Genomic DNA, 27991 nt, shown 5'->3' on the forward strand with positions numbered 1-27991 from the left:
GCTGGAGTGCAGTGGCGCGATCTCGGCTCACTGCAAGCTCCGCCTCCCAGGTTCATGCCATTCTCCTGCCACGGCCTCCCGAGTAGCTGGGACTACAGGCACCTGCCACCACGCCCAGCTAATTTTTTGTTTTTTAGTAGGGATGGTTTCACCGTGTTAGCCAGGATGGTCTCGATCTCCTGACCTTGTGATCCACCCGTCTCGGCCTCCCAAAGTGCTGGGATTACAGGTGTGAGCCACCGCGCCTGGCCGACCTGTTATAAATATTATATAGTCATTTTATTTTCAAATGTGTTTTCCCTTTCGAAGAGGAAACAAACTGTTAAGAATGATGGGTGTTTTAGGTGAATGGAATGAGGAGAGGTGCTGTAAAGGTCTTCTTCAGTATCACTGATGAAATGTGACACGACTTTACAATTAATGAAGAATTTGCTAGATAGTCGCTTAATTTTGGAGTGTTTTCTCTTTTCCACCAAAACTAGTAAATTTTATTTTATTTTTTTTTGAGATCGAGTCTTGCTCCATCGCCCAGGCTAGAGTGCAGTGGTGCGATCTCATCTCACTGCAACCTCCGCCTCCTGGGTTCAAGTGATTCTCCCTCCCTCAGCATCCTGAGTAGCTGGGACTACAGGCGCCCGCCACCACGCCCGGCTAATTTTTTGTATTTTTAGTAGAGATGTGGTTTCACCATGTTGGCCAGGCTGGTTTTGAACTTCTGACCTTAGGTGATCCGCCCCCCTCGGCCTCCCAAAGTGCTGGGATTACAGGCGCGAGCCACTGCGCCTGGCCCAAAACTAGTAAATTTTAACATGATGCTTTTCTAAGGCACTGCAGCTGTTCTTTTTATATCCCTTGAAGTCATTTGAGTATCAGTATATTAAAAAACTTGTCACCACAGAAAAGGAGAAAGACTGGGTCATCTTTGTTGGTTGTCTCTAATTTTTTTTTTTTTTTAGTGTGAGCAGATGTGAATACCTTGAGCTCCTAGGGTCCGGTTTAGTAGCATGAGATAGAAAATATTTTATTGGTTTGGGAGGCTGAGGCGGATGGATCGCTTGAGCTCAGGAGTTCGTGACCAGCTTGGGCAACATGGTGAGACCCTGTCTCTGTTTTAAAAGGAAGAACAAATAAAATAATTTATGGTTAGATACATGTCCTATTCACTACAAACTATATTCCAGGGAAGGATTTTAGAGGAGACAGGTTTATCCTTTTGTGGGATCCTTTTGTGAAGGCGTTTCTCATTTCTTTGACTTCTGCTTTTACGTTTCTTTAGTGACAGAAGCCGCGAGCAGGTGTTGAATGAATATCCCATCCCATTCATACGTTTAGGCTGGCGTGACATTTTGTGCTGCAGAATATAGGGTACAAAACCGAAATGTCCTCATCACTTGTCTGTTGTGATGAGAAAGCTACAAGTTTGTCAAGTTGGCTGAAACCAGATTGTCTGCCTTAGAGAAACGTTAGGGAGAGTGGGATCCCGGGAGTGAGAATCCAGAAGCAGGATTTTCCTGAGAGCAGCGGTCATGAAAGTAAACCTTGGTGAATGAGCCAACTGGGAGAAAAGAAGAAAACAAACCAGCCAAGTACAGCTGTGTGCCTGGGCGTCGCGTCCCCGTCGCCACACATCCCAGACCTAACAGCGCAGAGACATGTGAGCTGAAACTAGTTTAAGGCTTGCTGTATCTAGGTCAGACTGACTTCCAGGGCATAATAAAAACCCGTGTCTTCTGGTAATTGGGGCCACAGACGCACCTTGTGACTTGCTTAAAATGTTTCCTCCTACTCCCCCATCAGAGTATAGTCGCCCACCGCCCCCCACCCACCTTTCAGAATTTGGAGAAGCTCCTTTTTTTCTTCACCTTTCATACTGTTTGTTGTTGGTGTGTATTTGTTTTACCCTTTCTTTGCCATTGGCTTTGGCTGGTCCAAGAAGGACAAGTGTTTCAGAAAAAATATAGAGAGAGCAACAGAGAGACAGAGGACTTATGTAGCTGATCAGTCCGAGAGCGGGAACAGCTGTTTTGTAGGGCTGAACACTCAGATGTCCAAAGGCCTGCATTTCGTGGTCACTGCCTCCTGCCTGTGGCCTCCTTGCTGTATTTGAGTGATGATGATTCTGGTTCTGTGCAGCGAGACAAATGAGGCCCCTCCATCTGTGGAGGCTGTGCAGGGTGCCGGCTGCCTCGCATTTGCTTTGTTAATGGTGCTGAGGAAGAAAGAGGAAATGCCTCAGCTTCTGGAAGCTAAACAAAGTGGATGTCTAGCCTGATGGATGAGTGGAGTTTCTGTATCTCCCTTCACCGATAGTCCATTCATCCAAGGTCCTGCTCCTTATATACACTGGTGTTTAATGCTCTTACTGTGGGCTTTGCAGGACCTCCTCTTTAAATTTTGTTTTTAAAAGTTCATTGATGATAATTGACCAATAGCCAAATTCCCAAAACCCGTGAAGGACCTTAGTCCCCTTTATAACAATGTTTGCGTGGAAAAATAAGAGTTCCAGTGTCAACACGCATCTCATTGCCCCATTACCTGAAACTGTTGGCCGAGGGAGGGAACCCTTTCCTGGCCCCAGCTTATGAGTCTGCAGAGATGGAGGCCCACATAACAGGGTGGACACGAGGGCTCTGAGAAGGGTCCTCCAGAGGGCGAAGGTTCAGATGGTTGCTGGATGGTGTAGGCAGATGCAAGATCAGGAGGGTGAAGGTTCCGATGGTTGCTGGATGGTGTAGGCAGATGCAAAATCAGGAGGGTGAAGGTTCAGATGGTTGTTGGATGGTATAGGCAGATGCAAGATCAGGAGGGTGAAGGTTCCGATGGTTGCTGGATGGTGTAGGCAGATGCAAGATCAGGAAGGTGAAGGTTCAGATGGTTGCTGGATGGTGTAGGCAGATGCAAGATCAGGAGGGTGAAGGTTCAGATGGTTGCTGGATGGTGTAGGCAGATGCAAGATCAGGGTCACTAGGATTGCACAACAGAAAGGGGGGGGAATGAGGAAAGGCCTCCTTGGAGACAGGCCTTGTACCTAAGAGATGATTTGACAATCGAATGTTTCTAAGCAGGGGACTACCTGGATTTTTCAGTAATACAGACTGAGAAGAAATTCTGCCTGCATGTCTGTGAGTCCATTGAGGACACTTAGGGACACAAGAGAAAGGGGAAAAAAGCTAGTGTTTGAGCAATAACCATGTGTCTGCAGCTCCTGGCACTCTGTTCCAGCACCGTCCAGGTGCAGAATGAAAGGCAGCCAGACTGGAATTAAGCAAGTAGTCCTGGAGTAAGATGCAAGTAGTAGTGGGGTAAGTAGTGTGGTAAGAAAAAGACCAGGTCTTTTTCTTCTAAGCATCTTTCTCTGCAATACCACTTTTCTTTTTGAACAGCCATTCCCCAAGCACAGACGTCTCATTAGTTGAACACAGAGCAAGCAGTCCTTAAAAACAACCCCACTCTGCCATCTTTTTTCTCATCCTCCCTCCCACAGATGTGCATTCAATACCTTCTACACACGAAGAATAATGCCAGATTCTTGAAGGCTATGTTCCTATCCATCTTGAGATTCTTTTTCATGGTGGATCAACTCAGTGCTACTGCATAAAGTTATGTACTTCTGGCTGGGCACGGTGGCTCATGCCTGTAATCCCAGAACTTTGGGAGGCTGAAGCAGGAGGTTTACCTGAGGTCAGGAGTTCAAGACCAACCTGGCCAAAATGGTGAAACCCTGTCTCTCCTAAAAATGCAAAAAAAAAATTAGTCTGGCGTAGTGGTGCATGCCTGTAGTCCCAGCTACTCGGGAGGCTGAGGCAGGAGAATCGCTTGAACCCGGGAGATGGAGGTTGCAGTGAGCCAAGACTGTGCCATTGCACTCCAGCCTGGGCAACAAGAATGAGACTCCGCCTGAAAGAAAAAAAAAAAGTTATGTACTTCTTCCCTGTACAGGGACGTCATAGCTAAGAGGACAACCATTTGTCAGAGACACCATCAATTTAGGCCGTTATAAATTTAGTGATTTAGTATTTGGAGAGATTATAGTATTTGGAGAGATGGATTAATGTTTCCTTAGAAAGGAAACTCTTTATTCCCTCTAACTGTCCAAAAGGTACTGTGTGAGCTACTGGAGGCCTTTCCCCTTTAGGATCAGACATATCCCTACTAATGAAGGACACTTACACATCATTAGCAGACTCCCTGCTGAGCGCCCTGCATGCACGCTCTTATTTACTCTTCACACAACATTAGGAGAGAGCTCTGTTTCCCATTTTGCCTTGGAGGGAATAAAGCCTTAGCAGAGATTTTGGACTTCGCTCAAGGTTATACCTCTAATAAGTGCAAGATCCAGGACTTACATCCATGCTCCAAAGCTGATGCTGTTAAAAAATTTATTATTTTGTTTTATTTTGAGACAGTCTTGCTTTGTTGCCCAGGTTGGAGTGCAGTGGTGCAATCATACCTCACTGTAGCCTTGAGCTCGTAGGCTCAAGCTATCCTTATGCTTCAGCCTCCTGAGTAGCTGGGACTATAAGTGTATACCACCATGCCCGGCTAATTTTGTTTGTTTGTTTGTTTTTGGTAGAGACAGGGTATCAACTTTATTGCCTAGGTTGGTCTCGAGCTCTTAGCTTCAAGTGATCCTCCTGCCTTGGCCTCCCAAAGTGTTGGGATTACAGGTGTGAGCCACTGCGCCTGGCCCTGGTGCTCTTTTTTAATACTGTAGAATGCTAGGCAAATATCTTAGGGCCATGTGTATCTTTCTACCCTACCGGGAGGAAAATATGGTGTTGGAGACCTTCAATTGTCTTTCATTCCCCTGAGACAGCTTCATGTTTCAATGGATGAAGATTCAAAGCTCTGAGCAAGAACCCCTCCTTAGACCCTTCCCCTAAGCATTACTAATAGTAGCTAACATTTATAATGCTCTCTACCAGGCATTGTTCTAAGCAGTTCACATGGATTCACTTATTCAAGCTTCACAGCAGCCTTGAGAATTCTATTATTTTCCCCGTTTTACAGCCGGGGAAACTGAGGCCCAGGGATGCTCACACAGCTAGTCAGTGGCTAGCGCACTTTACCTAGGCAGGCTGGCTCTGCATTCTGTACTCTGTACCTCTCTGGCATGCCACTTGGGTCCCAGGTACCATGAGCCCATGTCCTGTTTCCTCCCGACCTTGAAGGAGCTGGAGGAGGAGGCCTTTGCAAGTGAGGGCTCGAGGCTGGTACTGAGGCAGCACCGCCTAATTGGGACCTGGATTAATTCTCTTGCCTGCTCCTTGCCAATCCCGTGGTTACTTCTTATTCTGACTTGCTTATTTCTGGGCCCTGGGGCTTGGCAAAGCAGAAGCCAGAGGTTTGCAGAGTCTGCACAGGAATGAGACAGACTCTTGCTCCTGTTAATGAGCATTAAACATCTCAAGTGCTACCTTTTCCCCACGCCTTTCCTCCACTTCATTCTTTTGGATGGTGCTCAAACCCGCAATTATGCTGACTTACTGCTTGTTCCTGGGGCTGATTTGGCTCTGTGCTGGGGAAGGGGGCAAATGCTGCCTTTCTTTGGAGCACAGAAAACAAGTTGGCTTCTTCCTCTGTCAGGAAAACACAGTTACCCAAAAGGGAAGGTTTGCTTTGATGAACTGCCAAAGATGTTCTCGATGCGTTATTGGACCGTCTTTTGCTTGGTTTATTTTTTTTCCTTAATGAATTTGGCTTTGGTTTATCAGTCCAAGGGAGTTAAAGGATCGTCCTCAACGACACTGATCGGGGTTGAACTGCATCCCTCACAGATTCATATGTTGAAGTCCTAACCACCTATAGCTCCAAATAGGACCTTATTTGGAAATAGGGTAGTTGGCGATATCATTAGTTAAGAGGAGGTTGTACTGGAGTAGGGTGGGCCCTCATCCAGCATGACTGGTGTCCTTATAAAAAGGGGAAACTGGGACACAGGCACACAGGGAGAATGCACAGACAGGGACGGTAATGCAGGAACCAAGGAATGCCAGAGGTCACCAGCGTGCCCCAGAGGCCAGGGGCAGGGCATGGGGCAGGCTCTTCCTGCAGCACCCCCAGAGGAAACAGCCCTGCTCTTAACCTTGATCACAGACTTCTGGTCCCCAGAACTGTGAGACAGTTTCCGCTGTGTAAGCTGCCAGTGTGTGGTGTTTCGTTACAGCAGCCCTTGCAAACCTGTACAATCACCTTCAACAAACAGACAGTCAAAACAAAAGCATGAAGTTAGCAAAGTTTGATGGACCTGAGCCTCCGTGAAGGAGGCCTTCCCTTCTTCTGCAGCAACTTCGAGTCAGAGGGCCCAGCCCTGAAAGGGCCTGGCCGGGGACTTGAATGGGGTCTGCTGGGGCACGGCAGGCCTGAGTCTGAGGCCAGGCATACCAGGCCACCTCCCCTCTTTCTACACCTGCCTCCTTTCCATATATATGTGGAGAGAGAGAGAGAATATTCAAGGATGGCTGGAAACCTTTGTTTTCTCTGTGGTAATACTTTCTGTTTTTTCTTCTTTTGATGAAAAGATGGATTTCATAATTGATTGTTAAGGGATTACTGCTGTTTAGAGGCCATACAAGAAAAAGCGAGCTACTTGCTTCTATTTCCCACAATATGGCAGACTATACAGCCTGAGAAGCTTCTAGGTTTGAAAAAAATTAATTTCCAGCTGAAATATTACATAGTATTTCTTGGCTCTTCAGTCTCATTTAAAATACAGGTCTAGCTCCATACACCTGCGCATACCATTAAGCTAGCAACTCAGACCCGAGGGAACTGGCCAGCTCATACTGAACAAGGAAACCGGTAAACTCAGGTAAACTCAACAAGGTTTGACTATTTAAAACAGCAACAGGGCCGGGCGCCTGTAATCCCAGCCCTTTGAAAGGCCGAGGTGGGCAGATCACGGGGTCAGGAGATCGGGACCATCCTGGCCAACATGGTGAAATCCCGTCTCTACTAAAAATACAAAAATTAGCTGGGTGTGGCAGCTTGCACCTGTAGTCCCAGCTACCCTGGAGGCCGAGGCGGGAGAATTGCTTGAACCCGGGAGGTGGAGGCTGCAGTGAGCCAAGGTTGCGTCACTGCACTCCAGCCTGGGCAACAGAGTGAGACTCCGTCTCAAAAAAAAAAAAAAAAACAGCAACAGAAGAAAGAGGGACAGGAAAAGGAGGGAAGGAAGGAGAGAGGGAGGAATGGAGGGAGGAAGGAAAGAAGGGAGGGAGGGATGATGGAGGGCAGAAAGGAGGCAAGCAAATAAAATACTGAGCAACTCAAACCTGTGAGCCAATGTCTGTGCACAGAGTTGAATCAGTCTAAGGTCTTTGTATTTGGGAGAATGGTGGAGATAGTGATCAATTTTAGATTTTACAAAAGTTAAGAATGCTCGGAAGGGTAATCATTGAAAGAGTAGGAAGAGAAGCAGAGATGGAATTAGAGAAAAAGAGAGAGCTTGTTATTCAATAAGGCTGGTTGCGGTGGCTCATGCCTGTAATCCCAGCATTTTGGGAGGCTGAGGCGGGAGGATCGCTGAAGGCCAGGAGTTTGAGATCAGCCTGGGTAACACAGGGAGACCCCATCTCTACAAAAAAATTTTAAAAAATAGGTGGGCATGGTGGTGCACACCTGTAGTCCTAGCTACTTGGGAGCCTGAGGTGGGAAGATTGCTTGAGCCCAGGTAGTCAAGGCTGCAGTGAGCCATGAGCCCACCACTGCACCCCAGCCTGGGCAACAGAGCAAGACCCTGTCTCTGACAATAAAAAATAATAATCCAATGTGGCACAACTTTTTGAGCTGTCTAGGGGTTAACCACCTGTCAGAATTTGTCTGTGTGCTCACAGTTTGCAATTGCAAAAATATGGAACCAGCCCAAATGCCCATTAATTAATGAGTGGATAAAGAAACTGGTGTGTGTGTGTATGTGTGTATATGATGGAATATATATATATATCTATGATGGAATATATATATCTATGATGGAATATATATATGATGGAATTTATATATATATATATATATATATATATATATATATATATATATATATATGATGGAATACTACTCATCCATAAAAAGGAATGAATTAATGGCATTTGCAGCAACCTGGTTAAGATTGGAGACTATTATTCTAAGTGAAGTAACTCAGGAATGGAAAACCAAATGTTGTATGTTCTTGCTTATAAATAGGAGCTAAGCCAGGAGGATGTAAAGGTATAAGAATGATACACTGGACTTTGGGGACTTGGGAGGAAAGGGTGGGAGGGGGTGAGGGATAAAAGGCCAAAAATTGGGGTCAGTGTATACTGCTCAGGTGACAGATGCACCAAAATCTCACAAATCACCACTAAAAAACTTACTTATGTCGCCACACACCACCTGTTCCTGAAAACCCTATGGAAGAACAGAAGTATTCATCATTTTTAAAAAAATCAATAAATAAAATGAAAATTTAAAAAAAAGGAATTTGTCTGTGTGCTCAGCCCTGAACCAGGTATAGTGTATTAGTTTAGAAATAGCTAATATTTACTGAGCATTAATGAATCGCCAGGCACTAGTCTCAGGTCTTTGAAGAGATGGTTGCTTTTGTTTTCCCCATGTTCCGGAGGAAGAACTGAGAAGAGCGTCAATAGGACAGGCCGGCGGTCTCCACAATGGGAGTAGAGGTGCTGGGATTCACACACTGTCCGGGATATTCCAGAGCGTTCATGTTTAACCCCTGAGCTATACTGTTTTAGTAAAACCCTTGTTTTGTCTTAGCAAATCCTTGTCTTAGCAAAATTCTGAAAAGGTGGTCAAGAGAACTGTGTCCCTCCGAGATGGCTCCGGGCCGCCCTCCCCTCGTCTCCTATGCTGCGCCTGTGAGCCACCTCGGGAAACCCTGAGGCTGCACACAACACCGTATGGAGCCTTGCCCTGCTTCCATAGGTGTAATTTTTTTGAGACGGAGTCTCGCTCTGTCGCCCAGGCTGGAGTGCAGTGGCGCGATCTCGGCTCACTGCAAGCTCCGCCTCCCGGGTTCACGCCATTCTCCTGCCTCAGCCTCCCGAGTAGCTGGGACTATGGGCGCCCGCCACCACGCCCGGCTAATTTTTTTTGTATTTTTAGTAGAGACGGGGTTTCACCGTATTAGCCAGGATGGTCTCGATCTCCTGACCTTGTCATCCGCCCGCCTCGGCTTCCCAAAGTGCTGGGATTACAGGCGTGAGCCACCGCGCCCGGCCCATTCACACTCTTCTTGCATGCACGCTGACAAGGGCATCAAAGCACTTTCTGTTGAACTGCGTATCGTAGTTGCCGAGGTTGTGGCGGTGTGGGACAACAGTCTGCAGTGACATGGAAAAGCAAACTGGACACTCTTCTCATAATCGATACATACTTAAGATATACTTAACCTCTCCTCCGAGGCAGTTTTTTTTCACTTGTTCCAGAGTCTGAGTTTAGGATATCACACGAGCAACTGTTACCTACCAATTAGTAGGTAACAGTTAGCATGTAGGTTGTGACTCCATGAAGACCTTGCTTTGTCCAACCAAACATGGATGGATTCCCTTACACCTAAAACTTAAGTAATTTAGCTTTAAAAATGTATCATGGCTCTGGAAAAGTCTGTAGGAGGCTTGTCTCCAGGGACATGGTGATGTGTAAGCACAGAGTATCTAGGGCCAGAAAGCCACATCAGATATCCTTCGGAAACCAGTCTCTGAGATTTTGGAACAAAATGTGTCCCACCGTATCTCTGGGTCCAACTTTCTTTTTTTTTTTTTCCCCTCTCCCTCACTGTCTTTAATTTATTGCCTTCTGGTTCTTTCTCACGGTTTCTAATTCTGCTCAGGCCTTATCCCATTTCTAGGATATTTTCCGCTCGTATCTACTGAGACGCCACAGCCCCAGGTAAGCGGCAGTTCCCTGGCGGTACAGAAGTGATCACGTGGAAACCCTGCAGTAGGCTGGGACCAGTGTGGACTGTTAGCCGACCTAACAGCCTCGTCTATGGTCTGAAACATGCTCCACATGAAGTGCTGGCACTTGCCCCTTCCCTTTGCGGCCAGCATCTTAGCTTGGTGGACTGGACGAAGCCGGTGGTCTCTTCAGAGACCTGTGGGAGGAAAAGTCTGGGTGATGCAAGTGATGCTGGACTTCATGTTTTTGTTACTGGAAACATTTGCAACAGATCTTGAGTCTTCACCCTTCTAGTCGGGGTGAGAGAAGAGCGGATGGAGATACTCTTATTTTACACTATTATTTTACATATAAAATACACTATTATTTTACATATAAAAGTGTATATTTCACATATAAAATACACTATTATTTTACATATAAAACTGTCTGATCCTGCAGGTGATTTTTCCTGTCTCCCCACTTAGATTTATTTGTTCCTCTTATAAAGCAAAACTGTAACTTAAAAAAAAACAAAAAACTAGCCTCCTTTCCCTGAAAAGTAGAGTGACCTTGTGTCCCCATTTGTCCAGGAGGGTACTAGTCTAAGCATTTTGTTCTAGTGTAATTAGTAGCATCCTTCTTACTTTAAAAAACATCCTAGTTGGCTCTGGGAGGCCAAGTCAGGTGGATCCCTTGAGCCCAGGAATTTGAGACCAGCTCGGGCAACATGGTGAAACCCCACCTCTGCTAAAAATACAAAAATTAGCCAGGCACGCTGGCGTGCACCTGTATTCCCAGCTACTTAGGAGGCTGAGGCACGAGGATCACTTGAGCCCAGAGGTCAATGCTGCAGTGAGCGGTGATCATGCCACTGCACTGCAGCCTGGGCAACACAGTGAGATTCTGTCTCCAAAAAATAAAAAAAATTAAAAATATTAAAAATATCCTAATTGAATAATAACTGACATGGTAACTCTAATGGAAGCTACTGCGAACTACAGTTATATTATAGCTAATCCTCTGTGCTTGAAACAGCACCTTTAACATATGGTATGAAAAATAATAGAAAGATTTAAGATTATTACCCATAAGCCTAGCTACTTAAACTGCTAAATATTGAAACAAAATTTTAAAAAATGTTTCAGATGAACTCAGCAGAAATTATTAAATAATAGCATCTCTGTATTTTTATTCTATATTAGCATTAGAAATGTTATTAGTAATTATTAAATGATATCACATAAAAGTCCTGTAATTTGCTGGAGTTAAAAAGTTATTCTTAATAGTGTCTGGGATTTAAATATATGGGACCTTTTTTTTTTTAACAGTTATTGAAATTTGATAAAGCAGGAAACTATTTGAGCTTTGCTTCCCTTTTTGATATATGATTTTAATTGTTCCTGTATAACATTCCCTTAAATTACAGGAAGCCACATGTTGGAAAAAGGATCCATCCTTTAAACTCCATCTGTGTTATAGTGTGGTTTTTCATTGGCTTGGGAAGCAGCTCTGTGGTGACCTGCAAACAGAATTGAGAAAAGAAAACTTTCAAGACTGATTAGTGTGAAGGAGGTTTGTGGATTTAACTCTCTCGGTCTCTTGCACCATCTGTATAAACGAGCTGCGGGGAAGTCATTTGAGTCATCTGAATACATTTGTACTCTATTTTGCATTCGTGTATATTCATAAAAACTAATAAGACATCCTAAAAATTGGGGGCTATTCTAGCAATGCAAAGATTTATATGGACTTTGTTTGGATGACACAAACAACAATAAGAAAACACTAAATCCAGTAACTGCTCGCACCAGGCATTACGGAGGCAATGGAGTGAGGCAGGAGAGTACAATCGCGGACTAGGATGTCAAGAATGGAATGCTGGTTCCTCAAGCTCTGTGGGCAAATCGTGGACTGTCTCTGAGCCTTAGTTTTTCATCCTTTCTTATGATAGCAACCCCTGCCTTGCCTGCCTTATGCATAAGGCTCAATAAATTGTCAAGTCCTATATGAACATAAGGCATTATTTGTTTTTCCTTAGATAGAATTCTTATCTATAAATGGATATGAGGGACATGAAGTAGATACAATATTTGTTCCTTTATGATCTGAAGTCCACGGCCATTTGATGCCCCTCTGCTGGGAACCATAGCACTGAAGAGGGCCTAAAATGAGCACATTGTGGCACACTTTATTGAGGGCCTATTTTTTGAAAGGCACTAGGCATAAAATGATTATAAAGTGAAATCTCCCCTGGCCACCCCATTTTACATTGCTAACGCTCAGTCTCAATCTTCGTCTTCTGCCTTATTTTCTTCCATTCATCACTATTTTATATTCGACACAGTTCACTAATTGATATGTGTACTGTTGTCTCCTGCCCTTAGGAGGCAGATTCCTTAATGACAGAAGATTTTGTTTTTGTTGCTATTTTATTGTTTTATTTTTGAATTTTGGTACCCCAGTACCTAGAACCATTATTAGCACATAGCAAGTGCTCAATAAACATTTGTTGGATGAACAAAGCAGCCATTACTCTTCAGTCGTACACCGCCAGGGAAGCAGACAGACATTTTTGTAGGGTGTTGTGTTGCATTATTAATACAATGAGGTCAGCAGGGTAATAGGAAGGGCACTGTTGTTATATAAACAGGACAAGGGCCTCTAAATCTGCAGGGATATTTGAGGGCAAAGATAAGGAGAAGATGGAAAGTCTTTCAGAGAACTGACCTGGGTTTGAATCCTGCAAGCAGGATACATGAGAGTTTCCAGAAGGCCAAGGAGGTGCTAGCCAGCTTACAGCAACAGGGCGGCTCCTAAGGCCTGCAATGAGAAATGACCTTGCTGACCACTGGGCATATTTTGGTGTGTGGTGCACATTGTGACAAGGGCCCTTGATGATTCAATGAGTCAGCAGGAGAAAATGCGAGAACTTGGGTATTTATAGTGATCTTTTAGGTAGAAAGTACCAAATAAATGAAGTCTTAACAGCTGATACCAGGACCAGCGCTGGGTGAAATGTGTCTGGTGGCAGTGAGTTACAGAAGGATGTGTGGGAGTATCATCAGGCGCAGGCCATTCTCCGTGGCTCCGTGTCGTCTTTTCCTTGTTTATCTTTTTATAGAAACAAGATCTTACTCTGTTGCTGAGATTGGAGCATAGTGGCACAATCATAGCTCACTGCAGCCTCCATCTCCCAGACTCAAGCAGTGCTCCTGCGCAGACTCCCAAGTAGCTGAGACTACAGGTGCACCCCACCATACCCGGATAATTTTTTAATTTTTCATAGAGACGGGATCTTGTTATGTTGCCCAGGCTGTTCTCAAACTTCTGGGCTCAAGTGATCCTCCCACCTTGGCCTCCTAAAGTGCTGGGATTACAGGCATGAGCCATCACCCAGTCCCGTCTTTTCCTTTTAGTATATTTCTTCCTACTGCAGTTTACCTGTGCTCATTAAGTGGATTTACAGCTCATCTGATCTTCACGATTTTGTAACGAGTTTGGGAGTAACCTTGAAAAGTTTTTCTACTTCACAAAAAATCCACTGATTAATTGTGACAAAATACTTTAAGGAGGTGTTCAACATAAAGATAAGGTATGCATTTTACTTTATAAATGTCCAGAGTTATATTTTTGCTGACCTTTTTTGAATACAGCGATGTTAGTACTAGTCACTATAATCCAAGGAACCCACCAATATTGTCATTTGGGGGTTAGTTAAATATGAGCTGCATGAAGCAGTTCACAAAGACATTGTGGTGAGTCTTGGGTGGTCCAGTAGAGAACTTGCTCTGCCTGTTGAAGCTTGGCAGTGGAAGCAAGCGTTACCCACTGCGGTTTCCCTGGGGCAAGCCTGAGATGCACAGGGAAAATCTAAAGACTCACTTCATGAACTGTTAACATTGTCAGTCATGTCAATCAGGCAACTAAATTCCTACTCTTTTCCTCAACCTGTAGAGGTTTGGTGACTCAAATCAACTATTGTTTCATTCCGAAGCTTCTTGGTTTTCATGGGAGAAAGCCCGTTATTTGTCTATTTGGGTTTCAGAGAAACATTAGGTCTTTCTAGAGGAAGCCTGTTCTCTGTGAGAGCATGCCTGGGTGCTTCTGGCTTTGTAGATGACTGTATTTTGGTGCTAGCTTTGCTTACTTGAAGTCTTGTGGGTATAACCTTAGGTTCTTCAGATGAGCAGATGTAGCTGTTGTACATGCTAATTGTCAAAGACAGGGTTTCAGTATGAGATAGCTTTAAAAAGGGGACTGCAAATCGGGGCTGAGGAGCTGGACACTGAGGTCATGGTGAGCTAGTTTCTTTTAGTGAAATGAGCAACTTTATTCTGAACTCTTTGGATTTTGCTGAAAATATTTTAGCCATTTTGAGGAGAGGCTTGAGAGCTTGATAAAAGAGCCTCATAGATATTTTCCCAAAGAAGATGGCAGTAATACACTTCAGATGCATTAGTAAATACACAGCATATGCAGAATAAAAACAGATCCTGAGGTTCATTTCAAGTAATACGGTTTATTGAACAGAAGTCAGCTGGCTCATTGTCAGTGTCCAGCCTTATCAGAAAAGATCTTTAAATATTTTTCATGATTTCCAACTGCATTCACATTGGGGCTTCTCCACGCTGGTTAACATAAAAAGTGAAACATACAATCATATTATTATGCAGTCTGATTTTTGCCTTAAACTATTTAATATTGAAACAAATTGCTGATTATCACGTTCCTTTTTTTAATTGAAAAGCTTATTTTGAAGTAAGCATTTTAACAAATATATTAGGCATAGGATTACATATATTTTATCATCTATCTTATTTTAATTTTTAATATTTAAATTTGTAGCATAGTCTTATTTCATTGGATTTTTTAATGTCACATTTTCTGTATCTTTGGCAGGTGACACCGATTTTCTGCTTCCGCCCTCCCTCTCCTTCTCCAGTGCCTTGACTCGGGCCTTCAGGAGATAGGAAGGCTGTAGAAACACAGTATGGCGGTGGACTGTGTGTAGCGATGTGTGTGTGGGCTGAAGCAGGGAGAGCAGTGAGAGGAGGTGATTGAGAATGACTCCCAGGTTCTTGCCCTGGGAGACTGGACAGTGGGACTCCCATTTGCCATGACTGGAAATGTACGCTAAGACCCCAGAGGTTGGGAGACTGGGCATAAAGATGATACATTTTGTGGAATGAGCAGCTTGAGTTTGATTGTCCATGGAGCATTCAGAAAAGATATTCAGTTGACAGTAGGAAGTAAGAATTTGGAGATCCAGGAGAGAGGCCTGGGTTGGTGAGAGTTATTTGGAAATCATTCACTTGCAAGCGCTGAAATAAAGCAGTGAATGTTGTGGAAGGAACTGAGCTGATGAAATTCTGAATGCCAAGAAGGGCGATTGGGTGGAATCCAGAGAACACCCAGTACTGAATGGGCAGAGGTACCATGGATAAGGAGGAGAGCCTGTAGAGAGTGACAATGAAAATGACAGGGAGGGAAGAGTTTTAAGGGGAGAGAGTGGGCAACAGTGGCAAGCATGAAACCAAATAAGGATGAAACCAAATTCAACGTCCTGAGTGGATTTGGCAGTGGCGAGATCGTTAGCTACATTAGCAAGAAGAAAAATGTGTTTATGGGTACACCTTGTTTCACTGCTCTTTGCTTTGTTCCACTTTGCAGATATTGCATTTTTTACAAACCGAAGTTTTCTGTCAACGCTGTGGTGAGTAAGTCTATGGGCGCCATTTTTCCAACAGCATGTCCTCACGTTACGTCTCTGTGTCACATTGTGGCAGTTCTCTCAATATTTCAAACTTGTTCATTTTTGTTATATGTGTTATGGTCATCTGTAATCATTGATCTTTGATGTTATTATTGTAATTGTTTTGGGGCTCCACGAAGTGTGCCCATATAAGATGGCAAACTTGATCCGTAAGTGTTGTGTGCGATCTGACTGTTCCAATGACTGGCCATTCCCCTCTCTCTCTCCCTCTGCTCTGGCTCAACAGTATTGAAACTAGGCCAATTAATAACCCTGCAATGGCCTCTGCATGTTCAAGTGAAAGAAGAGTCACATGTCTCTTACTTGAAATCAAAAGCTGGAAATGATTAGGCTTTGCGAGGAAGGCATGTCCAAAGCTGAGATGGGCTAAAAGATAGGTCTCTTGTGCCAAAGTCAGCCAAGTTATGAATGCCACGAAAAGTTGTTGAAGGAAATTAGAAGTGCTACCCCAATGAACACACGAATGATAAGAAAGCAAAACAGACTTAATGCTGGTATGGAGAAAATTTGAGTGGTCTGGACAGAAGACCAAGCCAGTTACAACATTTCCTGGATTAGCCAAAGCCTAATCCAGAGCAAGGCCCTAACTAGCTTCAATTCTCTGAAGGCTGAGAAAAATGAAGAAGCTGCGAAGGAAAGTTTGAAGCTAGCAGAGGTTGGTTCATGAGGCTTAGGAAAAGGAGCTGTCTCCATAACATAAAAGTGCAAGGTGAAGAAGGAAGTGCTGATGGAGAAACTGCAGTAAGTTATCTCAAAGATCTAGCTCAGATCATTGATGAAGGTGACTATACTAAACAATGTATTTTCAATGTAGACAGAACAGTCTTATTTTGGAAAGAGATGCCATCTAGGACTTTCATAGGTAGAGAGGAGATGTCAATGTCTGCCTTCAATGGTACCACCTTCAAAGGACAGGCTAACTCTCTTACTAGGGGCTAATGGAGCTGGTGACTTTAAGTTGAAGCCGATGCTCATTTACTATACCAAAAAACTTAAGACCTTTAAGAATAATGCTAAATCTACTCTGCTTATGCTCTATAAATGGAACAACAAAGCCTGGATGACATCACATCTGGTTACAACATGGTTTACTGAATATTTTAAGCCCACTGTTGAGACCTGCTGCTCAGAAAAAAAGATTTCTTTCAAAGTATTATTGCTTATTGACAATATACTTCAGTGACAGTGATCACTGAAGAGCTCTGATGGGGATGTACAGGGAGATTAATGCTGTTTTCATGCCTGATAACACAACGTCCTTTTGCAGTAGCCCATGGATTAAGGAGTAATTTTGATTTTCAAGTCTCATTATTTAAGAAATACGTTTCATGAGGCTGTAGCTGCCATAGATCATGATTCCTCTGATGGATCTGAGCAGAATAAATTGGAAACTTTCTGGAAAGGATTCACCATTCTAGATGCCATTAGGAAAATTTGTGATCCATGGGAGGAGGTCAGAATATCAACATTAACAGGAGTTTGGAAGAAGTTTATTCCAACCCACAGGAAAGATTGTGTTCAGATGCTTAGGTCTTTAATGAATGTTCCGTATACTAGAGATACAAGTTCAAAAATTCAAACTGCAAGTTTTCCTTTACTAGAGATGCAAATTGAAAAATCAAAATTTCCTTAAGGTTTTACATTCAATTTATTCTATTTGTAAATTTTGTATTTTTAAGTAAAAAATAAAAACCATAACTCTTGGGGTCTTTGAAAATCATTTGATCAACTTGAATGGAAGACTAAATCCCTTTTACTTAACAATTAGCCCTACTTAGAAACATCTTTAAATACATTCCCTTAAACATTTAAAGTGCATCTATAAATTTCATTTATTTAATTTTTAAAATTTATTACTATTTTTATTGAGGTAAAATACACATAACGTAAAATTTACCATCTTAATCATTTTTAAGTGTATATAGTCCAGTTAAGTTAAATACATATATAACATTATGCATCCATTACGACCATCTATCTCCGTAATTCTTTTCCTTTTGTAAAATGGAAACTCTCTACCAATTAAACAACAACTCAAACAACAACCCCTCCTTTCACCTTTCCTCCAGCCCCTGGCCACCACCATTCTCCTTTGTGTCATTATGATTTTGACTATTCTAAGTACTTTGTATAAGTGGAATTATGCATTATTTTTCTTTCTGTGACTGACTTCTTTCACTTAGCATTCTGTTTTCAAGGTTCATCCCTGTTGTAGCATTGGACAAGATTTCCTCTCTTTAGAATGCTGAATAGATTCCATTATATGTATATATTGCATTTTGCTTATCCACTCATCCCTCAATGGGTACTTGGGTTGCGCCCATGTTTTAACTATTGTGAATAATGTTGCTATGAACATGGGGGTGGTCCAGATATCTCTTCGAGTCCCTGCTTTCACTTCTTTTCGGGTATATCTAGAAGTGGAATTGCTGGATCATATGGTAACTCTATTTTTAAGTTTTTGAGGAGTTGCCATACTGTTTTCCACAGTAGCTGTACCATTTTGCTTGCCTACCAACAGTGCACAAAGGTTCCAGTTTCTCCACATAATTGCCAATGTTTGTTATTTTCTGGTTTTTGGGTATTTTTTTTTTTTTTTTGATAGTAGCCGTCCTAATGGGTGTGAGTTGGTATCTCATTGTAGTTTTGATTTGCATTTCTCTAATGATTACTGATACTGAGTATCTTTTCATGTGCTTACTGGCCATTTGGATATGTTCTTCGCAGAAATCTCTATTCAAGTCCTTTGTCCATTTTTGAATCTAGTTGTTTGTTTTTTTGTTGTTGAGATTTAGGAGTTCTCTGCATACTCTGGATATCAATCCCTTATCAGATATATGCTTTATAAATATTTTCTCCCATTCTGTGGATTGTCTTTTCTCTGTTGACAGTGTCTTCTGATGCACACATTTTAAAAATTTCATGAAGTCAGTTTTTCTGTTTTTTCTTTTGTGGCTTGTGTCTTTGATGTCATATACTTGGTACACTTGATTTTTAAAAAGTAGTTAATATATCTGACGAGGAAGGCTTCAACCCAAATTTTCCCCAGTACTCTATTGGGCCTTTAGTAGTCATCAAATATGTGCCAACCATTGCTAGCCATTGGGGATATAGCTCTGAACAAAACAGAACAATGAGCAACAATGAATAAGACAGAAAATATCCCTCATCCTTATGGAGTTTACATTCTTCTAACTCTAAATTCATTCAACTGTAGCAAAGCTGATAAACTAAAGTTTTAAATGAAGAGGATTTCAAGTCAAAATTTGTATACCTTTCAATTTAAGATTACAAGTCTAAAATCAATTATACATTTGAATTAGAGTCACAAAGCAAATCTGTGTAATTAGTGTCTCTAATCTGTCTGATATGAAAATACCAAATATACACATTTTAAAAGCCCGATTAAATAATACTAATGCTATAAAATCGATTTGCTTTATCATTCATTTAATTCTAACTTTCCTAATATTGAATACTGGCTTACAAAACCGAGCTTGCTTGATGGACAACTCATGACCCAGGTACATGATTGTCTGAGGTAGGTTTAGAGATCTGAAACTGGGCCCAGGGACATAGGGGTTGTATATGACCAGAGTGACTCTTTCCATCATAACACAGATGGACAGACTGAGTCTGATTTTAATAGTGGCTATAGTAACAGGGAACTCCATTTTTCTTCAGATTGGACTGGTTTCACAATACGCTGTTTGCTAGATTTAAGCCTTCCCTTCATAGCACTATTCAGCATTGTCCCCAGTTTGGATGGATAAATTACTACACCACCCATACCTACTTTGCCATCTGATCCGATTCAGCTAACTCAGCCTATGTACCACCTGATTATTCTACATCAGGCTAGTTGGCCACGAACACTGGATCATGTCACCCCTCTGCAAGGTCTGCATTTGGAGGTGGCTGAGTGGAGCTATAGCTCTTCTCCCCAAATGTCCATCAACTCACCTCCCGTCTTTCATATGAACAATTAATATTTTCTCAGTTTAATCAAGTGCGATTCAAACTTACTTCCAGAAAATTCTTAGTCAATCTCTCCCTTCGAACAGATTCCCTCTTCTTCTGTAAAGAAATTCTAAAAATATCATTGCTTCTTTGATCCAAACTCTTCAACGGCTCACACTGCACTTGGAATAGAATATAAAACCTTTACCATGGCCTGCAAGTTCCGGCATGATCTGGCTCTGCATCCTTCCATGACCTCATCACAAACCTCCCTCTTACTGTGCTCCAATTTCAGCCACAGTGGCCTTTTTCCACTTCCTCCAACAGAAAGTCAAGATCCCTTCTACCCCAGGGCCTTTGCACAGACTGTTCCCCCTTTCTGTAACACCATCTCCCCCACTCTTTGCTTGAGTGGCTCCTCATGCTGTAGGTCTCAGCTCAACTGTCATTTCTTAGAGAGATTATTGTTCTTCATAGAACTTAGCACAATTTCTGCATTTATTTGCCTACTGTTTCTCTTCCATACTAGACGGTTTGCTGCAGGGTCATGTGTGGTGTTCTGTTTGCCCAGCACCCATCCCAGGGCTTGCGTATTCTAGACAGTCAGCCATTGTTTGCTGAATGAATGACTATCACAGTTGCCACAGCAGTCACCATTAGCTTTAAGTCATAGCTATTATAATCATTCATATAACCACCTTTGGCTCTTGGGAGGTACTGAGTAATTGTTGAATTGAGATATCTAAATGTCAGTTCTCCTACATTCATTAATACAACTTGTTATTACCTTATGGTCCTTTACACCAGCGGCCCCCAACCTTTTTCACACTGGGGACCAGTTTCGTGGAAGACAGTTGTTCCTTGGACTGGGGTGGGGGTAGGGTTGGAGAGCAGAAGGTTTTGGGATGATTTGAGTGCATTACATTTACTGTGCACTTTATTTCTTTTATTATTACATTGTAATATATAATGAAATAAATATACACTCACCATAATGTGGAATCAGTGGGAGCCCTGAGCTTGTTTTCCTGCAACTAGAGAGTCCCATCTGGAGGTGATGGGAGACAGTGATAGATCATCAGGCATTAGATTCTCATAAGGAGCACGCAACCCAGATCCCTCCAAGCATGGTTCACAATAGGGTTCGTGCTCCTGTGAGAATCTAATGCAGCCACTGATCTGACAGGAGGCTGAACTCAGGAGGTAATGCCAGTAAGCAATGGAGAGCTGTTGTAAATACAGATGAAGCTTCACCACCCACCTCCTGCTGTGCTGCCTGGTTGCTAATGGGCCGAGGACTAGAAGCTGCACGGGGTCCGTAAATATCTGTGGGGTAGGTAAATATCCAAGCAGTCCATGGCCTGGGAATTGGGGATCCCTGCTTTATACAGCTAGCTTTCTATAACTTCTAAAGCTGTAATCTTTCTGTTCTTAGCAGTTCTCTTACAGGAAAGAAGACATTGAACTAAAAGTGCCTTCTATAACTTCTAAAGCTGTAATCTTTCTGTTCTTAGCAGTTCTCTTACAGGAAAGAAGACATTGAACTAGAAGTGCCTTTCCCAATTAAAAATAAAAACCACAGAACATTAGTGAATTGGTTGACAGTAATACATTTTGATTATGTAAATATAAATTCCATAGGCTACTTAGTGATTATTTATTTATTTACCCTGGGTATCCCAAGAGGTAGTACAGTGGCCACAGGTTATAGAGGGCGGTCTTGAGATCTGAATGAGGAGAGCTCTAATTCTAGATTTTATAATGCCTGTGGCTTAACGCCATCCTGCTCTGCCTGGTTCTTCAAGATAGTTGCTACCCCCCTCAAATAATTCAAGCCTTGGAATAGCACAGATTGTGTTAGAACTTCCTGAATCCTAACCAGCTAGAATCCACTGGCTTGTTTTTGCGATATCAGCCTGTTAGAAGCATATCCCTATAAAGATTTAATATCCCTGTCTCTGCATCTTGGCACCTGTGAATATGAAACAACAGCATAAATATGATTTTGAACGTTGCATTGTCACAGATGAAAAAATGCACCAACATGTCAAATGCAGCGCTGAAAAAGGAAATCGGGCTTATTTTTGTCGTTGTTTACTGTACCAAAGCATTTTTGAAAACCCAAATCGAGGAGATAACCGTTTTTGAATGAACGGCAGTGCAAAGCGTGGTCGGGGTTAGCAGCAACGTGGCTGGGCGCCTTTAACTCGGCGTGACCTCCGGGTCCCAGGCCCGCGTCCCGGGCCCAGCGCCCAGGCCCGGGCGGCGCATTGGCCCCTCCTCCCCTCGCGCGCCGCGCGCATTGTTGTCCTTTAGCGATTGGTTGTTGGACCAGAAACAGCTGTGCAGAGCCGTGCCATCTAAAGAGCTGTGGACCTGAATGCAGCGTAGCGGGCTGGCGGTGACTTACACCGGGACTCCAGAGGGAGAGAGGAAGCGCTGCAGGCCACTTGCATTGCGTCTTCCAGGCTGCGTGGACCCGGCGCCCCGGCGTGTGCGGTTGTGGGGGAGCTCGCCGTGGCCTCCCCTCCCTCTGGCTTTAGCTTCCTTTGGGGTTGGCGCAGGTGGGCCAGGCAGCGCACCGCAGATCTCCCCGTTCCCACGAAGGCTGGCTCGCTGTCTCTCTCCGAGCGGGAGGGACCATCCTAAAAATATGTAAATATCCAAGCGCTGGCTCCAGGCTGGGGCAGCTGCCAAGGTCCCCGCGCCGCCGCCGGGTGTTTTACATGAAAATGAGAAGCCTGATGGGAACCGCGTTCTAACTTAAGGCAGCCTGGTGATTAGCATGAGACTGGGCGGCTGTCCTGCTTCCTGCCCTTCAATAGCCGTTCCGCGCGCTCGCGCCGGAGCAGCGCTGCCGCCGCGCGGGGGTCGATCGCAGGCTCGGCGTCCTTGGCAGCCATGGCTCCGGCGCCGCCTCGGCCAGTAAGTAGGAGCATGCATGTGTAGGGGGCACATGCGTGTCGGCGCACCCACCCAGCCATCCACCCGCGCGCACGCACAGCGCCCGGAGCCTCGGCAAGGGGAAGATTGACGAGGCGCTGCAGTCGCGGGGACGACGCGGGCTCTTCCTGGATTCCGCAGGAGCCCGCCCGCCGCAGCTGCTGTCTGCAGAGCCTGCTCGGATCCTGTGCACACGCGCCCCCCGCTCGAGCCTCTGTGATGAAGACTGTCTCCCGGGGACTGCAGCGGAGGCAGAGCCAGCCAGCGCCGGGGACTGCGGGCCGTGCGGCTGATAGGCCCGCGGGGACACGACTCGGACACTGTCATCCCCACGCCTCGCGCTGAGCTGCCCGGCGCGGAGGGTCTGCCGCCGCCCCTCCGGCCTCCCGCACGCCCGATCCCGGGTCAGCCCCGGAGGCCTCGGCTGCCTCATTTGTTTGGGTCTTTTGTGCCGTGGCTCCCAGTTGGCCAAGCACTCCTGCGCTGAATCGGGCCATTGTCTGCGCTCCCATTGCCTTCACGCTGCAAGTCTCGGCGCCCCCACCCCGCCCGCCCCCTCCCCGCCTCCTCCCGGCCGGGGAGCCTCCTAACGTGCCTTTCCCCCCAGGAATCTGGAAGCTATAAGCCGGGCGGATTGCAAATGAAGTGTAATGCATTGTGGGACGTGTGTAAAATCGGAGCCTTCGCCGTGGGGGTGTGGGGGGGCGTGGGGAGGGCCGGACCCGCCGCTGGCGGTGTAGACGCCGACGAGGAGGGGCTGGGAAAATGTGCGCAGAGTCCGCCCGGGTCGTGCCCGCCGTAGACGGATGAAGGAGCGCGCTGCGCCCCGGCGCTGAGGCCCCGAGGATCGGGGCGGCAGGTCGCCCTCCCCACCATGAAGAAGACCCGGAGCACAACCTTGCGGCGAGCCTGGCCTAGCTCGGATTTCTCGGACCGGGCCTCGGACCGCATGAGGTCCCGCAGCGAGAAGGACTACCGCCTGCACAAGCGTTTCCCCGCGGCCTTCGCGCCCCAGGCTTCGCGGGGCTACATGACATCAGGTTGGTTGGTGACCGCGTTTCTGCCCCCGGGCCGGGGCCGCGGGACGTGCTCGGTACGCCGCGGCCCGGGTGCTTGGAGGAGAGGACGGGCAGTGATGGATGCGATAAGTTATGGGGAAAGCAGGAAAAAATTAGCTCCCATCCACCATTTTGTACCTCCCAAGATCCACAGCAGGCCCTCTCAATATGGGGTTGGAGAGCTATTAGTTAGGTAAAACGAGGGAGGGGGGACGAGCCGGGCGTTTTGGCTGCAGGGAGATAAATGACTGCAAGCCCCGGCGCTGCAGCCTCCTCGAGCTTTGTGGAGGATCCTGCGCCCAGGGTTGCCTGCAGTGCCAGGCTTGCTGGCTGCTGCATTGTGGCCGGTTATCTGAGTGGGTATTTCCAGCAGCCCCCTGTTCTCCAAAAGGAACAGGTTCCATGCGCAGCTCTGGATGGGCTGAGTCAGGGGAGAGTCCTGCAGACATCCCAGGCTGGTCTGATTTGCACGCAGAGAACTGTGTTGGAGCTTACTGAACGCGTTCTGTGGGGGTAATGGTGTGGATGCGGATTGAATGCTCACATGATTCTGTGTGGATTTAACATATGTTGCTTTGAATTAGGCTGTATGGAAAGAATGGAGGCTGTATCATGTGTTTGCATGTCAGACAGGAGGGACAAACAAAACGGTAAATGGAAAGGGAAGGCTTCAAAAAAGATTTCCGCTTAAAATGCAGTGCTGTGAAAAGCCTTCCTGAAGGAGCCAGTTCTTTTTTTGGAAATACAACGGAATGGCTTTGGTTTGATTTGGGAACCCAGGGATGAAATTCTTGAGGGAAATGCTGAAGGAGGAAAAGCCTGGAAACCTTCCGTTGCCTTCTCCTTACTTCTCCTTAACCACTTGGATGTAATGATGTGTAAGGCATCGGTTCTTATTTATTTTTCATTCAGAGAAAAATTTAGATTTTCTTCTAAGCACACTGTAATGGAAGAACCGAGATTTTATTTTAAACCACATACTGTACCAAATCACTCTGAGCCCTGTCTTAACTGGGAAGATCATTTTAAGCTTGTGGTTGGTACTTACAGTCTAGCTTTACTCTTTTTCTCCTAAAACAGCAAGTCCTTTTTAACTGGGGTCAGCATCTCATGCTTCAAAAATGCCTTGCGACCGCATTTCCACGAACATAAAGCCGAAATAAAAGAACCATCTTTTTTATTGCAAAGTCAGGCGACATAAGGATGTTGTACTATTTTGGCAATAAGGCTCCCTTGATTTTCCCTTTCATGAAAAGCCAAATTCGTAAAGAAAGTGACAACTACAGTTTATACTTCAGTCATTTAAGTCGCTGCTGTGGTTGCTACACTCTTCAGACTTGTGGCAGTAAATTTTGAAACACACCTAAATGCAAACCTAACCTCAAAACACATATGTACATAAACCCATTGCTGCACTAAGTGTTCAGATAATCCTGGGTTTCATGTACTTAGGGTTTGAATGTCTTCATTCCACACTTCACAGTTCCCCTTTCTTATGCCTCCTAAGGAACCGGTCCTGACACCAACTGTGAAGCTATAGGAGGGTTGGTGGCCATCATTTCATCGACAAACCTGCAACACTCTGTTTCATGATTCAGGCACATTTCCAGGCAGCCAGTTTTTTTTTTTTTTTTTTTTAATCTATCTTGGCATTACCTCATTATCACATTTGCATTCTTTGCAAAAGAACTTGTCTGCTATTGCAGGTGCTGCGAGGCGTTTTTGAGGGCTTGAGGAAGAAGCTTTTAATTGTACTTGATTCCCTTATTTTATTTCTTGATCTACAAATGGTAAGATGGTCCTATGGTGATAATGAAGGATAACCTGTTTCAGGTTGGCGGTTTTCTGTTCAGATTCAATGTTAGGTTACTGCTGAGAAACCTGAAGACCAAAAGATGGAAGAAAAGTGCTGTCATTCATTCAGCATTTTTATGGCGTGCCCCCAAAGAGCGAAGTGCCTTGCTGGATTCTCATGGGGTTATAGGGTTGGATATAATACGGTTCTTGCCCAGGGAGGGAGGCTTATCATTTATTCTTTATTTTAACTGTTAGCTAATACATGGAATAAGAAGCAGGTGTTGCTGCTATGGAAGGAAATGGTAAACATGATGACAAACACCTACAATGAAGATTGGGAGAGTAGGTGGAGTCTTTCTCATGTGCAACTCTTTTGGGGGTTGGGTTGGGAAGGATGTGTATCTTCATCTATTTCCTTTACAAATATGGCTCCTTTCAAAATGTGAGTATTGATAGAAATAGATGATATACTGAAACACTTGGAAATGATTTATAAGACATTCTCATCCTTTTAGGAAATGTAAAGGAGATCCACTTTTATCAAGTTAGTGACTTTGGATACAAACAGAGCCTTTGTCACATAAAATATTGAGTAGAAAATGAAACCACTTAGAAACACATGAGGCCTTTCATATTTCTTCTTTCTGTTTGTTCAGCCATTTGGTTTAATTACTACTGGTATCCTTATACTTGATTTTTAGTAAAAAAGGTTTTTGTTGTGGGGAAATTACTTGGGTTCAAAGGACAAGATAAGCCTTTCAGAGATGTACTAAATGACTTAAAATAACTTCAGTTAAGAGACTATTTTTAGACCCCCTCCCTCAACAAATATTCTGAAAATTATGGGAAACAGTCACTTAGTTTTAAACTTCAGGACATGAGAGAGCCTTGGGAATTTCAAGAAATAGATATTAATAATTTTCCTTTTGGTCTAGCATCCCGTACCACACAGTAGGTGCTTCAAGCAAAATTGTAGGCTTCTATAATAGCAAATGAGACAGCACCATTTCAAACAGTCTTTTCTCCACGAATAAGTAATTACCAGTGTGAAATGTGATTTATAGCAATAGGCTTGACATTTAGCCTTGGCCTTTCCGATACCTTCAGGATAAACTACACTTAAGCTCAAGAGGTTAGAGCGGGCACCTATAAACTAGCGAGCTCTTGCAAAAGGACAGTTAGAGAATGCTGAAACTTTAAGTCTCGAAGACTATGCCTTATGTGACTGTTTAAGCTCCCAACTCATGCTACCAAATCTGAAGAAATCCTAAGAATTCATGAGCTTCCTAGCAACCAGTAAGTTCACAGGCCATGAGATGACTTCATTGTTCATCTTGAATATTAATTTCCCAGTGGTGGTTTCTGGGCAGAAAGGGGAAGATCTTGCCTTTTGTTCAAATCAAGATGAATAATAAAAAGTGCATGGCGTTATCTTAAGAAGAAAAGGGATTGGACCAAATGGATGTGGGATCATTCTTGGGCATTTTCTAAAAGTAGAAGTTACGATATTAATGAACTAGAGATAAAAGCAAAACTCCCCACAAAGGAGCAAATCTGTATAATGAACGCTTAGTACTTTATGTATGAAAACATGCTCATTTGTCTCTGTGAAATGATTTTCAAGGCCCCAAACCTTTTGTTGATGAAGTTGTGAGAGCTTTCTCTGTTAGAATTATGTGAACTGTAAGCTCTTCACACGAATGATGCTGCTAACTTTTAATTTCCTTCCCTCTCCCCTCCCCCAGCCCTGGGGATGGGCGCCTCTTTATATTCCATGTATAATGCCAGCAAAGTTTTGGGGGACATCCTTATTGATCAAGCATGGAAAGTAATTTTTTCATTATACAGGTTCTACAGCACATGATCCTTAAAAGCTTTGTTTCTGCATGAGAAAGCGAAGTCCTGGCCCATTTGAGTTTGATGCTTATCATTTTGATAACATCTTTAAGGAGTAAAGCGTGCGTTTTTAATACTACGGTTTTAAAGCCTTTGAAAAGAAAGATAAAACAAAAGCCCTAAACTGACATTGCAAGAAATTTGAAAGCAGTTTTGTCTGCTGGGGAAGAATGGCCAGCTCATCACCTTGATTAGTTTATTAGTTTTCATTTTATAGAAACTAATTCTGGGGCACGTTTGACTGTGTGTTCCAGTTCCTTATGTTCTGTTATTTTAAGAGACATGAGGGTTTTCTGGGAGTGAAGGATGGACACTGGAGGTTCCAATCTGGGCCTGCCACAAACCAGCTGTGTCCCTGGCGAGTAATATGACCTCCCTCCATCTGTAATGAGTCCCCCACTTCCATGCTGCCATTACAGAATTGGGCTGTGCAGTGGCTCTGTCTTGAGCAAGTGCAAGACTTCTGAACACTTACACATAAATTGTTAGACAAAACTTCTCTGCCCTCTTCTACTTTTTGGAGTCAGGTGCCTCCTGTTTGTGGGAATAGTGCTCATTTTGCGATACAATCCTATTCCCTATCATCCTGAAATGTTACATTAAAGGTATGCGTTTTAGGACTCGCCCTGATGACCAGAGTAATGAGGGGGGAAGAAATAAATGAAGACCTGGCAAGTTATAATCATAT

The 27991-nt window shown here is 44.1% G+C and overlaps 1 protein-coding gene across 3 annotated transcripts in view, besides 2 other annotated features; it reads left to right on the top strand.

Annotated features, from left to right (window-relative positions):
* STOX2 (storkhead box 2) overlaps positions 1 to 27991 on the top strand; it is a 225509-nt gene that overhangs the window by 85343 nt on the left and 112175 nt on the right. Inside the window, exon 1 of one of the 3 annotated variants that reach the window (NM_020225.3) lies at positions 21943 to 23592. The exons of the other annotated variants lie outside the window; for them this stretch is intronic. Within the exon in view, the coding sequence (NP_064610.1) occupies positions 23427 to 23592 (166 nt within the window). The 5' untranslated portion in view covers positions 21943 to 23426. Of the gene's footprint in view, positions 1 to 21942; positions 23593 to 27991 lie in introns of those variants that run through there. 3 annotated transcript variants of the gene reach the window in all.
* Positions 21486 to 22195: an enhancer, noted in NCBI's record as "OCT4-NANOG-H3K27ac hESC enhancer chr4:184826003-184826712 (GRCh37/hg19 assembly coordinates)". NCBI's record gives its function as "activates a minimal SCP1, AML or CMV promoter by ChIP-STARR-seq in naive H9 embryonic stem cells {active_cell/tissue: H9 hESC(naive)}" and the evidence as "EXISTENCE:reporter gene assay evidence [ECO:0000049][PMID:30033119]".
* Positions 22196 to 22903: an enhancer, noted in NCBI's record as "OCT4-NANOG-H3K27ac hESC enhancer chr4:184826713-184827420 (GRCh37/hg19 assembly coordinates)". NCBI's record gives its function as "activates a minimal SCP1, AML or CMV promoter by ChIP-STARR-seq in naive and primed H9 embryonic stem cells {active_cell/tissue: H9 hESC(naive and primed)}" and the evidence as "EXISTENCE:reporter gene assay evidence [ECO:0000049][PMID:30033119]".

This window comes from Homo sapiens, chromosome 4, assembly GCF_000001405.40.
Source record: "Homo sapiens chromosome 4, GRCh38.p14 Primary Assembly".
Classification (NCBI taxonomy): domain Eukaryota; kingdom Metazoa; phylum Chordata; class Mammalia; order Primates; family Hominidae; genus Homo; species Homo sapiens.